General features: G+C 38.6%; 1 long non-coding RNA gene across 2 annotated transcripts; it reads right to left on the reverse strand.

The window, feature by feature from the left end:
- Window positions 1-6,948: 6,948 nt before the first annotated feature.
- LOC105379121 (uncharacterized) lies at window positions 6,949-14,879 on the reverse strand. Of its 2 annotated transcripts, none has more exons than XR_007058898.1 (5): window positions 14,742-14,879; window positions 11,487-12,108; window positions 11,282-11,331; window positions 7,629-9,217; window positions 6,949-7,383 (listed from the first exon to the last, which is right to left on the reverse strand). It is a non-coding gene; the product is annotated as an uncharacterized LOC105379121 (long non-coding RNA). The 2 variants fall into 2 exon arrangements; XR_948670.1 differs by lacking the exon at window positions 6,949-7,383 and having other exon boundaries at window positions 9,186-9,217; window positions 11,487-11,633; window positions 11,904-12,108; window positions 14,742-14,873.
- Between the last annotated feature and the right edge of the window lie 470 nt (window positions 14,880-15,349).

Genomic DNA, 15,349 nt, shown 5'->3' on the forward strand with positions numbered 1-15,349 from the left:
TTTGTTCAGATGTGCTCTCGCCATTGTTCCATCTGTGATGAACACCCTTTCTGCACAAAGTAAAGATTGCCTTGCCGACAGAATTAAATTTATGTTTGAGTGCTATTTCTTTGCAGCACTGGGAAACAAGCATTATGTTTCTAAATAAACATTTTACATATAACAAGAACCAACTTGCAAGTTTCAGGTCTGTTTCATGCAGATCTGAGTAGTTGGGAAAGTGTTTCAGTTTCCCTCCTCAAATTTCTTTTATTGTACTCTCTCACCATGGTCCATTTTTTTCTGACCTCACAGCCCAGTAACCAAATGTATATTTAGAAACCAGGATCTCCCTTTGCACTGTATCTTCTTAAACTGTCTGCCCAGGAAGATTCTCCAAGTTGGGATCTGCCTGGCCCAATTCTTGCTCCCCATCACTTCCAACAAGCATTAGCTGTTACATGAATCAGTTCCCTCTGGGTCTTTTTCTTTACTCAGTGACATCCAGAGGTAAAAATAAACTCACATCTGTGATGATGTAAGGGAATTCTTGAACTCTTCACTTTGTCTTCATATGGTCAACCAATGGATGAGATTAAGAGTTTGTTTTGAACCATGTGGAATTTGAGACACTTATGAGACATTCATGTTAAGATACTTAGTATACAGCTGAAAATGTTGGTCTCAGGAGAAAAGCAAAAAGTAAGATACTCTTTTGGGAGTTGATAATTAGGCAGTAGCTAGAATCATAAAACTGGATGAAATCAACAAAAAGAAACCACCTGGGAAGTCCAAGGAAGAATTACTGGGAACACAAACATGAAACAAAAGTGAGAAGGGATGGGCGAATTACTGAAACCTATGGAGGATAGACCAGACAGACTGAAGTGAGCTAGGAGATTGTGTGTCAGGGAGAAGAGAATGTCAAGAAAAAGGGAAATGGCCAGCAGAATATAATGCCCACAGATGGATGAAGAATGCTAAGAAGCAATGACTTTACAATTGGCAATGTGAAATTTGAAACTTCAGTGAGAACTGTTTTTCAAAAGGTATTGGCTGGGTGCGGTGGCTCACACCTGTAATCCCAAAACTTTGGGAGGCCTAGGCGGGTGGATCACAAGGTCAGGAGTTCGAGAGCAGCCTGGCCAATACGGTGAAACCCGGTCTCCACTAAAAATACAAAAATTAGCCAGGCATGGTGGCAGGTGCCTGTAGTCCCAGCTACTCAGGAGGCTGAGGCAGGAGAATTGCTTGAACCCAGAAGGCAGAGGTTGCAATGAGCTGACATCGTGCCACTGCACTCCAGCCTGGGCAAAAGAGTGAGACTCCATCTCAAAAAAAAATAAAAAAGATATTAATAGAAGCCAGAGAATGATGCTTGACACATGAATTAGAGTTGAAGTTGAAAAGAAAAATGTGGATTAGAAGTTGAAGTGGTTCATTTAGTAGTAGTGGAATTAAGAGGAAAATTTTTACAATGTTAGAACTTGTTTTCTGGTCTGGAAAAAAGGCAGTAGAAAAGAAACGATTGATAAAAAAGAAAGAAGATATAATTGACAGACAGAGATCTTGGAGCAACCAGAAGACACATTGAAGAATTTGAGGAAAAAAGACAAGGAGTGAGGGGATACAGCCAAGAAAATAATAAATTAGGAACTGAAAAGCAGGAAGGGCAAGGTTATTCAATGGCTATGGCCTCTATTTTTTCAGCAAAGGAAAGGAAAAGTTTAGCTACTGAGAATGAGATATACAAAATAATGGGACTTCTGAGGTATTTTGGAATAACCATTAAGGGAAATGACCAGGAGTAGGCACAGAATTTCCAAAATGTAATAGAGTTGAAATTCATAAACATGGCATATACAGATTGTGGGATTTTCCTTTTACTTGAAGAGTCCTAAAGCTTTGTAGCAAGAACAGAAAAGTAAGCAGCTCCTAAGAGCCAATGTGCAGTGTGGGAGAATAAAAGTTATTCATCATGAAACAGGCATTTTGGTCTTTTTGGGCTACTGCAACAAAAATATCATAAACTGGGTGGCTTACAAACAATACACTTTTATTTATGACAGTTTTAGAGACTGAGAAATCCAAGGCAACAGCAGACTTGGTGTCTGGTAAGGGCTATTTCCTGGTTCATAGATGGCACTTTTTTTGTAGTGTCCTCACATGGAAAAGAGACTAGCTAGCTCTCTGTGGTCTCTTTTTACAAGAGTGCTAATCTCAATCATAAAGGCTTTATGCTCATGATCTAATCACCTACCAAAGGTCCCACCACTTAATACCATTACCTTAGAGGTTAGGATTTAAATCTATGAATTTTTTGAAAATACAAAGCTGCCACAGGGTTGAGGCCACCACAGAGAGCACCTACTAGGGGAATGCTCCTTGGAGCCGTGGGGCAAGGCCACCCCCATTACCTCAGACTGGTAGGACTGTCTGCATATACAAGTCCAGCCTGGGAGAGCCACAGGCACATGACTCCAAACCCTTGAGAGCTGGGATGAGGGCTGCACCTGGAAAGCCATGAGGGTAAAGGCTGTCCAGAACCTTGAGGGCCCAACCTCCACCTCGCCGTGACCAGAAGGTGGAATATGCAGTCAAACAAGCTTATTCTAGAGACTTAAGATTTAATGTTGTTTGCCCTGTTGGGATTTCCAACTTACTTGGGACCTGATACCCTCTTCTTTCCTATTTCTCCATTATGAAATGGGAATGTCCTACACCTGTCTCACCATTGTATTTTGGAAGCATGTAACATGTTTGATTTCATAGCTCACGGATGGAGAGAAATCTGCCTAAGGATGAATCATACCTTGAGTCTCACCCATATCTGATTTAAATGATATTTACACCACACTCTGAACCTTAGACTTTTGAGTTGACTGAGTTAAGACTTTCGAGGCTATTAGAATGGAATAAATGCATTTTGCATGCGAGAAGGACATGAATTTGGTGGGGCAGGTGGTGGCAGTGGTGCAGAATGTGAGTGTTCATGTTTCTCATCCAAATTCATGTTTAAATCCTAACCCTCAAGGTGATGGTATCAAGAGGCAGGGCCTTTGGAGTGATTAGATCACCAGGTCATAACGTCATAACGCTTGTGATTGGATTAGTGTCCTTATAAAAGAGATCACAGAGCTAGCTAGTCCCTCCCACCATGTGAGGACACAGTGAGAAGACATTATCTATGAGAAAGCAAGCCCTCACCAGACACCAACTCTGCTGGTGCCTTGATCTTAAACTTCTCAGTCTCCAGAACTGTGAGAAATAAATGTTTGTTGTTTATAAGCTACCTGGTTTATAAAATTTTTGTTATAGCAGCCCAAACAGACTAATTCAGTGGGTCTTCACAATGACATCAAATCATAAAGGGAGAATGGGTTGGAAGGCTTGCAGATTCTAAGAACTCAAGAATTCAATAAATTTCATTCAAGACTTATTCACTATTCATCTACCACATGCCATACTCAGTGCTAAATGCTAGAGAAATAGTAGAGTCCTTCTAGAGATTTACAGTCCAGTAGGAGAAATGGACATAAAATGTAGTGCCAAAATGAAAATATATTTGCAGTGTAACTTGGAACCAAAGTTAAGAGTTCTTATTTTACCTTTGGAAGTGAGCAGGAAAGTGAGTTTAATAGAGACAAAAAAGGGAAAAACTTGAAGGACAGCAGTTCATAGTTGTAAAGTTCCTGTCTCTACAAGGCCCTTAAGGAGCATACCTAGAGACAGAACTTCTAGCAGCCTAGTGGGAGGATTACCTGAGATCAGAATCTTTGATACTATATGACCAAGATCTAGCTTAAAGATTGTTTCACTAGCTGCCTCTGATGCAGCCCATTCACTAATATGTCAAATTTCACAAATACATCAAATCTCACTATCAAAAGAAAAGAATGACAGCTAATATCTATTATTTACTATGTGATAGGCAAGATTCAGAGTGGCATACATATATTTACTCATTGAATATTTACAATAACCCTTCAGTATTATAATTATTACTCCTATTTTATAAATCAGAAAATTGAGTAACAGAGAGGTTAAGTAACTTGTCCAAAGTTCACACAGCTGGTATGAGGCAGAGCCAGTATTCCAACCAAGGTACTTTGATCCTCAGCCTGTGAATTAGCAACTCTGCCTCTCAACTTACCATATTGAAAACTGAGACCAACAATAAAATATTTCCAAAGCCAAAGAGGAATTTCCAGATACTGCAATTTCAATGAGACTAAACTGAAATTGTTCACTTATCAACCATTTACGGAATCTCTGAAATTCTTTATCACAGTACTCAGGAGTTTAATTGAGAAATAATAGCTAATTACTAATTTGCTTTCCAAAAAAGATGATTCCTGCTAGTTAACATTGTTTTGTTGAGTAAAGTTTGCAAATTTAGGCTACATTACAGGAAACCACGGAATTCTAGGAGAAGCAAAAGTCTACCACCCATCTTTCTTTTTCCTCCTTTCTCTAGTCAGTCCTCAGCCTTTTCTCTAAGTATCGAAGAATAACTTAACATTATCAATTTGATGAGGTGGTAGCCTCCCTGGACAGCCTGTATATGTAAGCTTGACCTACATCAACGACCACAGTTCATCACTGGACACTTGGTCCGCATGGAAACTGAGTGCTTGTTTGACAAAGTGACTTATTGAAAACGTACTTACTGCATTGGTCTATCCGTACATCACAGTTCTGAAGGTGGCTCCTAGGAAGGAATGAGCACCATCTGCCTGAGGCAGACTCACTTCGAGGCTCCGAACCAGAGCAACAAGAAAACGGATATGCTGTGGGCCTGCCGGCCCCAGGCTTTTCACCCTTCCCATCCCACCTCCTCTTAGGAGGAACAGCTGGCCCCTATCTTCAGTTCATTGTAAGCCTAATGAAAATACCAGCTGCCTGAAATAAACAAAACCTATAATTGGCAGCGGTACACTTATCCCCACTCACCTGAGTCTTCAACCCATGTGCACCCAACAAATAGCCCGCAGGGATAAATGTCTGCCTGATTGGGTATTTCTGGCTGTGGAGTGAAAAGAAGAAATCATCAGAGCCTTAAAGTTTCTTGGGGTCTTACCCCTGCTCTCTTCCCTTGTTAATATAGGAGAAAGGACACAATAGGCACATACCTGTTCACACCACCACTTCTCCAGCCTAAGGGAGTAAGGATTTGCCTCTTCTCTCCCATGTTCTCTCTGCCAATGGTACTTCACATGCGAACAGTACTTGAGTAACAGTTTACTTTCCTATGGAAGTGCTAGAATTCATAGATGTTCTTCATCAAGCATGCTTTCTAATGTTTTCCAGTCAATGATAAATTGGAAATAGGAAAAGGAAGTTTGAACTCAATTCTAAACAACAAGGGTTTTTCCGAGAGATATGTAAAAACAAATTTATATTCAAAAGTAAAACCATTGGCGGGGCGCAGTGGCTCACGCCTGTAATCCCAGCACTTTGGGAGGCCGAGGCGGGCGGATCATGAGGTCAGGAGATTGAGACCACGGTGAAACCCCGTCTCTACTAAAAATACAAAAAATTAGCCAGGCGAGGTGGCGGGCGCCTGTAATCCCAGCTATCCGGGAGGCTGAGGAAGGAGAATGGTGTGAACCTGGAAGGCGGAGCTTGCAGTGAACCGAGATCGCAACACTGCACTCCAGTCTGGGGAGACAGAGCGAGATTCCGAAAAAAAAAAAAAAAAAAAAAAAACCATTGGCAGATCTATTATTGCCTGTTCTCAGGAAATTTAATTTTTTAATTATTTTCCCACTTACTGTGGTAATCTCTTTGACAAACTTTCATATACCCTCACTTTCAAGCCAAGGTTTTTGAACCACACTATTGAAATATAACTATGATAGAAATAGTAAACCTGTCATTTTTTTTTTCCAGGATGGAGTCTCACTCTGCTGCCTAGGCTGGAATGCAATGGTGCAATCCTGGCTCACCGCAACATCCACCTCCCAGGTTCAAGCAATTCTCCTGCCTCAGCCTCCCGAGTAGCTGGGATTACAGGCACCTGCCACCACGCCCAGCTAAGTTTTGTATTTTTAGCAGAGACACGGGTTTCACCATGTTGGTCAGGCTGGCCTTGAACTCCTGACCTCAGGTGACCCAACTGCCTTGGCCTCCCAAAGTGCTAAGATTACAGGTGTGAGTCACTGCGCCTGGACAAAACTGTCAATATTTTTATTTGTCTTTCTTAGTTGGAAAATTAAAGGAAAATATTCATTTTCTAATTTTCTTAATTTTTCCCCTTAAGAGACTTGGTGAGTGTGAGGTTATTACTGTAATAACAAATATCCTTTTTCCTGCTGTGGCCTTATTCCAATAATTAAGATCCCTTCCCTTTTTTTCTGAATCGAGAAGAATTTTCTAATTGGCAAAGGGTACTACTACCTGTGGCATTACTGAGTACAATGTCACGGCAATAGGCCATGTATCCTAGCAATGTAAACTGAATAATAATATAGTAACTGGCTGAAAAGGCATTTTGTTTGGGGCACGCCGTGGACTCTCCCAAATAGCTAAGGAGCATAATTTTGATAAATTATATAGTTTTATTGTTATTAACCTCTGTGAAAAAACATTTGATTTTCTTTATGAAAAATAGATCTACTCAGATCTTGGAGGGGAAAAAATTCTTCCTTCAATTATACATCAGTGGAAATTATGAAAACTTTGGGAAGAAACCAAAAGAAAAATCATTCCAATAAATCCAACTTTTTTCTGTTATTTTTAAAATGAGTAATGTCATTTTGAATTCCCAAATCAGAGGGCATGTACTTTGGAGAAAAGAAAGGATGAAGATAATGATATTAGCAATTTCCTCTGAGTCAGAAAACTTTAAAAATTTTAGATAATTAAAGAGCACCTCAATACAGAATAAAGAATAAAAGGATGTCCTGTGTTTGGAAAAATTTTATTTTAATCTTAGATGAAAAAACTATATAAAAATGTAGTTCTAAGCCATAAAAATAAAGGAGTTCCTAAAGCAGTATCCATCACTTCTTTTCTTCAAAGTTCGTATAAGAACCTAATAAAATTGGCCTATCCCTTCTCCGTATACCTGTTGCACACATTTACTCACCTGTTCTTTTTGTACCCTATACTAGTCTGTTATTCTCAAATTGTTTTGAATGTGTAAACCTAACTTCTGCAAATTACAAATTCTTTTAAGTCAGGGGATGTCACTTCCAGGGGATGTCTCACAATATCTAATGTTAGCTATATAATGAGCATTGTGCTAAGCATATTTATGACTCATTAACCCATTCTTACCTCATGTAAAATTCCTTTTTAATAACTTCCACATCCAAAGTGTTATGTGCGAAGATAAATACATGGAAAGAAATCGCATTTTCACCCCGAAGCCCCTAAGGATCAATCAGTTCTTGATCATCACTGTAATAAATTTAGCAAGTGTAAACAACTGTGTGTCTTCTCGTTCATTCAAGCTTTTAGCATCTGGTTCAATGTCCTCCTTTCACCCAAACACTTGCCAGCAACTTGGCTGATATCAGTGTGTACATGAATGACCCAGATGAACCTTAGCATCTGTTTTTTAGGATAATTCTCATGATATCTAATGTTAGCTATGTAATGAGCATTGTGTTATGCATATTTATGACTCATTAACCCATTCTTACCTCATGTAAAATTCCTTTTTAATAACTTCCACATCCAAAGGGTTATGGTGTGAAGATAAATACGTGGAAAGAAATTACATTTTCAGCCTGAAGCCCCTAAGGATAAAATAGTTCCTAGTCATCACTGTAATAAATTTAGCAAGTGTAAACAACTGTGTGTCTTCTCTTTCACTCAAGCCTTTAGCATCTGGTTCAATGTGCTCCTTTCACCCCAAGACTTGCAGGCAATATCCATGTGTACATGTATGACCCAGATGAACCTTGACTTGGCTGATATTAGTGTGTACGTGAATGACCCAGATGAACCTTAGCATCTGTTTTTTAATCTCTCATTTCCATCATCATAATTCCACATTAGTAAACTACTTCCATAGATAGATATGTAAACTTATTATCTTATAATTATCAACTCTTGAAACATTAAATCTTTCAATTCCGTAATTATGATCTCAGACCAATTCAGTTTCTTCAGGCTGATTTTCCCCATAAACCCTTCCAATCCTCTATTTTCTCCCAGTCCTCTCTCGTCTTGTCACCACCTTTCATATATACCCTTGATCATATCATCTACCTACCTCTTCATCCTCTATATTGCCAATATTATCATCTTTCTCCTGTTACATTTCTCTGAAAAATTCAAATCTGGACCAATGTGAAAAATTCATCTGCATCAGATTTGCAGAGTATTGTTGCTAAAAATAATACAATATTATATTACAGGTTGTTGCAACTACAAATTCATGCTCCTTGACCTCAACCAGAAATTCTACACTGGCCAGAAGTGTTTCTCTATTTAATTTTACTTCCTAATCCTCACATCATCAACAACTACAATAATATGGTGAGTTCCTATTATTTTTCCTGCCCAAAATAGTACCCTTCCTTCTTCTAGGAAATTCTTTTTGAACGGGAGATGGCACCTTCTTACAGATGTCATACCACTATCTGCTGTGGAGGGTTCCAAGTGGGCACCTGGGCCAAGCTTAAACAGTTTTAGTTTCCTGCTTACCCAGAAATATTTGATTGATACAGAAATGAAAATATGGCCAAAGCAGATAAAATGCAGTTCCTCCACAGATACTTTTTTAAACTAGAAGTGAAGAAGAAGAACGGTAAGGAAAAAAAACAAAACGAAAAGGGTAAGAGAAAAAAGAAGGAAGAGAACCACAATCGCAGTAGAAATGTATAAATACGGTCACATCCATAGTGACCTCTGAGAGCCAGGATCCAAACCTAAATATCTCTGATGTGGAGCCAGTTCTTTTTTTCTCTCTCTCTCTTTTTTTTAAATTACATTTTAAGTTCTGGGGCACAAGTGCAGAATGTGCAGTTTTGTTACCTAGGTATACACGTGCCATGGTGGTTTGCTGCACCCATCAATCCATCACCTACATAAGGTATTTCTCCTAATGCTATCCCTCCCCTAGTCCCCCCATCCCCCGACAGGCCCCAGTGTGTGATGTCCTCCTCCCTGTGTCCATGCGTTCTCGTTGTTCACCTCCCACTTATGAGTGAGAACACGCGGTGTTTGGTTTTCTGTTCTTGTGATAGTTTGCTGCGAATGATAGTTTCCAGCTTCATCCACGTCCCTGCAAAGGACATGAACTCATCATTTTTTATGGCTACATAATATTCCATGGTATATATGTGCCACATTTTCTTTATCCAGTCTATTACTGATGGACATTTGTCTTAACCACTATCATACAAACACTCACAGCTCTCCCTATGCTTCCTACATGCCACCACCCCTCTCACTCAGAAGATGACCTTGAGTCCCATTTTAAACAGAAAATATACGTCATAAGAGGGGAACTCCTGCAAGTTCCTGCCACTACACTGGCACAGGTTTTCACGTCCACACCCTTTACTTCATCTCTATTTGATAGGATGAGAGAGAATCCCTCTCTCAGAGGCTCATCACCCCAGTGCTCTGTTTCTAGCCAGCCTGCTCAGCATTACCTGCTCCTTTGATTATTTCTGTTCTCTCCTATGTCCCCAGCCTCATTTTCATTACGCCTTTTCCCTGTCAGTATAAAATCGCACTCAAATCTTGCAATTCTTAATTAAATTTTTTTTCAGCATATCCCCATCCAAATACTATCCTGCTGTTTTCTTTCCCAAATGATCAAGTCCTTTTTCTTTCATTTGGCCTCTGGTACAGGAAACTAGATTAATCATAATTTGTGGTTCATGATGATATGTGGTCATCATTTCAAGCCTGGTGATTTTATTTATTTGATTTCTTGCTTTTAATTCTGTAATAATCTGCTTTGAAAGCACCATCTCAAACAAGAGTCAATTTCTTCAGATAAGCTCTAGCCTCTCCATCCCAGCTCCCTGGCTTTCCCCTTTCAAGCTGCCATCCTCCTGAGTCCTATGTCATTCAATCCATGGCTTTCCTTTTAATATAGTTTTACTGTATCTATGTATTCTTAAAAGTATGTTGTTTCACTTTAGTTGTTTGACCTTATAGAAAGAATGTCATTTAATATTATAATGCCAAGATTTATCTCTTTTTAAATGCCACTCTGATTCATTTATTTTGAGTGCTATATGGTATGCCACAGCATTTACTGTTTATCAGGTTAAGGAATTCTATTCATCTTTTTCTAACTTATGAAGAGTTTCAAAGTGATGAATGGATATTAAATATAATCAGATGTTGCCTCTGGTTTCTTTTAATATGATGAGGGGTTAGACATATTTATGGATTTTTTAATATTAAACCTTCCTCATATTCTGGGATAAACCAAAATTGGTTATAGTTCTTTATTAGTTTTAGACACTGTTTGACTCTATGTTCTTTGTATTTATATTAATAAGTGAAACAGCCCTGTAATTTCCCTTTTCCACAATGTCTTTTTATTTTTGGTATCTGTGTTATTCAGACCACATAGAAGCAGCTTGGAAGAAGCTGCTCTTTGCTATTGTCTGGAAGAGTTCCTCCCCAGTAATTCTGTGCTGTGGAATGCTTCGTTCTATTTCATTCATCAACTTGTCTCCAAATGCTCCTTTCAGATTTGTTGACATTTCTTGTCCGTTAATGTCCTCTGCTCTCATATTTACCACTATATATCGAAACAGAAGATAATCCTCAAGCAATTAATTTATTGCTGCATACTATTGCAGAACATTAGTCAACGGACTAAATCTTAAACCAAGCCCTCTGGAAATTTGCAGTGCTTAACTTCAGACGGACAAAAGAGTGCAAGTTTCACATCTCATGAATTTACATATCCCATGCAGTTGCAAGTGTTCTGCAATATATACCACCTTCTTGGGCTGAAAAGCTAAAGTTTGCAAGTATTTTTTGTAAATACAAATAAATATTTTATTTTAAAAACTATTTCTTTATATTTCAGCCACATGGGCTTCAGGAGAGTTCTGAGTTAGAAATTCAAAAGTATTTTCCCCTGACAGTCTGCCACCAGCCCCCATGTATTTTATAAGGATTAGTATTCGCTCCCAAACTTTTTGTTTGGGGGCACAGGAAAAGATTGGCCAGAATTTCAAATTTTTCCTGGAACGATTATTATTCTTTTCATTTTTTCAACTTGTATTGAAGGTCCTGATAGATAGGGGAGACAAATATTTGTGCTTAGTCAACAATTTTATATTCATATTTTCTTTATTTACAATTGGTACCTTACCAGTTTAAACTAATTCCTGATGATGTGCTGTATTCTTTTTCTACCACCTCCTGTAGAAAATAGAAATAATATCTTACATCCAGATGACATGGATTTATTGTATGAACTAAATAGAGATGATCTCAATTCAAGTACTACCAACTAGTTACTGTAATAAAAATAGCCTTACCTGGCCCCTTCTTTTTCAGCCAGGGAACTATCCTACCTGTGCAGAAACTTGTTGGGTTACACACATTCCTCTGAGCCAAGACCAGCTTCTTCAGCCTCTGTCCCACAGTAGATCCCATGGGAGCCCAGTCTATTCTGTAGCCTCTCCTGCTGCAGTTGGAAAACTTTCCATTTGTGCAAGGACCTGCTGGGAGACACATGCCCACTTGAGCCAGTGTGATAGGCACAGCAGCCTCCATTTCACAGTAGATCCTGGGAGAGTATAGTCTCAGATTTTGCTCCTCCTTTTGAAGTTGAGGAATTACACCACTGGTGCAGAGACCTGCTGGGTGATGCACGTCCATCTTAGCCAAAAAGATAAGCCCATCAGCCTCCTTCCCACAGAAGATCCTGGGAGAATCTCAGTCTCAAACTCCAGTCTCTCTTACTGAATTTGGTGACCTATCCCACCTACTTAAAGATCTGCTGGAAGGCACACCAATTTGAGCCAGCGGGACAGTCTTCTGGACTCAGGACCCTGGCCAGCATCCCCACACAGACTCAGTATCCTACTTGGTTCTTCCCCAGGTCCATCTGGGCCAGAAAGCTGCATCAACTTCAATGTCCTTGCAAGACTTGGAATAAGCTTGGGCTTAGAATGTCTTCTAGTGCTGGGACAACTGGAATGGACAGAGAATCAGGGAACACAGCAGTCAGTATGTTTAGAATCCCTGAAAGGCCCTCTAAAGAAGGACAGACACAAACAAAGCCAAACTGTGAAGACTGAAATAGATACCTAATCCCTCAATGTGCAGACATGATTGCATGTCTGCAAGTAGAAAATTCAGGGAAATATGACCTCACCAAACAAACAAATTAAGGTGCTAGAGACTTACCCTAAAGTGATGGAGAGGCATAATCACTCAGACAAAGAATCAAAATAGCTGTTTTAAGGAAGTTCAGTGAACTTCAAGAAAACAGAGAATAAATTTATAAATTTATCAGAGAAATTTAACAGAGATTGAAATAATTTTTTCAAAAATCAAACACAAATACTAAAGCTGAAAAACAAAGTGAGGAACACCTATGGTAGAAATATTTCTCAGGTATGACAATGTCCAAAAGCCTAATTAAGGATCAAGTAAAAATTGGCATACTTCTTAGTATGTGGTTTGTATTTAGCCCATCAACACTGCAAGTTTTGCTTCTGGGCTTGTTTCTCCCTTTGTTTTGTTAAAGGGAAGCTCAGAACCACTATCATGTCTCACTTCTTATCAAATATGTAGCATCTTTGTTGTATGAACTTTTTATACCAACTGTATCCCTGGTATATCTTAATTTCCTATCTTGATTTAACCTTCATTCATCTTTATTCACCTGTTTATTTTTTATCCTACTGTAGTTTATTTGTATGTAAAAGCCACTTTTCTTCTTTTAGGGGAAAAGGATAATATAAAACAAAACAAGGATCTCCACACAGGATGAAATGCAAGCAAACAGCTAAACTGCATCACTAGCTCCACTGCCCTCTCTAACCTGATATCTGAATAGAGTGACTACTATAAAAACAGAGGTCTCAAAAAGCTTTCATTCTACATTTGTTCTACCACTTACTCAGAAACTTTTATGATATACCTACTGTGTGCCAGGTACCCTGATAATTGTTAAGTTTACAAAAATATGTTTAAGTTTATGGTCCTGGACCGTCCGCCCCCAAACCTCAAATTCAAATAAGAAAAGCAGATAAATATACAGATAAGTGTAACAGAGTGTGTAAATATAATACTGTAGTAATAATAGAATGAAAAGCCTCAGGTGTTCAGAGAAGTACAGAGAACTATAGGTACAAGCTAGCTGACCACCCCTGCAAGGTGCATTATTCAGTAAATAGTCTACCTCTAGAGTTGAAATGTAAGGTAACTGGCATGTACATCATATCATACTATCTATGCTGAAGTAATTTAAAGTAAATCAGACATTGTAAGATGTATTGTCTCTTTTGCCCTACCTTGATTTCAGCTACAGATACATATTTCTCCAACAGGAAGTTTACTCACACAATGCATTCCTTGGGATTTGGCCAATTTTAGACTTGTCCCTTTTCCCCACTCTTTCTATCAGGAAAGAAACAAACTCCTGTCCTTGCTCTGTTTCTGTTGTTTTTAAGCATGCTCTTGGGGGGTCTCATTCTTTACTCTCAAAGTATATCCCTTCGAAACAAATCTATTGCTCCTCCTAAGGAGAATCCTGATAATTCATATAAGCATTTTAACCCAGGTCTGTATGATGTTAGAGCCTGAGATTTTAATCTTTCCTTTATGCTAGATCATCTGTATTATATTATTTAATATCAAGAAAATATATGGCTGATAAGACCTGAGATGTTTAGTAAAAACTTTATTAACAATTATCAATTCAAGAACAACTATACCACTGAGTTTTAGAAGGGAGATGAAATATAAATAAAATAATTCTGGAGGAGTCCTTACTGTCTTATTTGAACGGATTTGTCATTTGTCATAAATATGTATATTTGAAATAACTTTAGAATAGTTTCAAGCAGCATGCCAACAAATGGAATTTAAGGAAATTGTAATTACAGTCCTTTCACTTAGCAGATTAATAATTTTGAGTAAGGTATATTTTAATTAAACTTTAAGTTCTGGGATACGTGTGCAGAACATGCAGTTTTGTTACATAGGTATACACGTGCCATGGTGGTTTGCTGCACCCATCAACCCGTCATCTATATTAGGTATTTCTCCTAATATTATCCCTCCCCTAGCCCCCCATCCCCTGACAGGCCCCGGTGTGTGATGGTCCCCTCCCTATGTCCATGTGTTCTCATTGTTCAACTCCCACTTATGAGTGAGAACATGTGGTGTTTGGTTTTCTGTTCTTGTGTTAGTTTGCTGAGAAGGTTTTATGTTTCATTTGCTTCCTCTGATATTGGTAAGTGTTCTCACCTCCTTAACTAGTGTGAGTATGGAGATTCTATAACTATAACCAGCAAGGAATAATTAACCATTGGTCACCTTAAAACTATATAAAATAAGAATGAGGGTTTCTCTTTGGAAAAGTGGAATTTTTAACGGGTGGGACTTTACATTTCATATCTTTCAATCCCTTCTTTCACCTATAAGGAATCAGAGAAGGAAAGGAATGCCTAACAGTAAAGAGCTGGGTTAGAATAACTTTTCAATTTACTATACTGACCTTGAAACCCGTATCTATATCATTCAGCCTCTTCCTACATCTTAGGTACAGGTGAAAGTGTAGTTTAGATGACATATGACCAAATGCTCTGACTTACCTTTTAGCAAACATTTTAGAATCCAAGCATCCAAATGAGGGCCTGCTGTCATTGGAGGTTCTAAATTCATCCTTACAATGCCCTTGACTTTCATGGTTCTCTCTCTCTGAATTTTTTCAGTCCCCAGTTGGCTCAGCTCTATATAGAAAAAATAAACACAAGTACATCAGGCTAATCGTGCAAAACCAAACCTAAGTGTGGTGATTAATGTCACAAGTTTACTGACTAATTCATTCAATAAATGTTTATTCAGCACCTATTACAAACTTATTTATTGTTTGTTCCCCATTATCCTTCTTCCTTTTCTAACATCTTTTCTAACAGCAAAGGAATTTCTTTTGGAGGAATGTCCTCTTTTCTATCTAATACAACCTGGTTAGATTCTAATTAGCAGCCTTTTCTCCTTAGGGGGAAAGTAGGCATATCTCAGGCAGGCCATCAGATGTTCTTTCCTATAATTTGAATCTTTGGCAAAGAGTCTAAGATATTGAAAGTAGTTGGAGTTCCATCTTGACCAGTGGCAGCATTCTTGTCAGTGGCTAATGGATCATTAGTCCTCATCTCCTGTCAACAACATGAGCTCCGAAAATCCTTACTGCAATTTAGCT

This window comes from Homo sapiens, chromosome 5 (genome assembly GCF_000001405.40).
Source record: "Homo sapiens chromosome 5, GRCh38.p14 Primary Assembly".
NCBI lineage: Eukaryota > Metazoa > Chordata > Mammalia > Primates > Hominidae > Homo > Homo sapiens.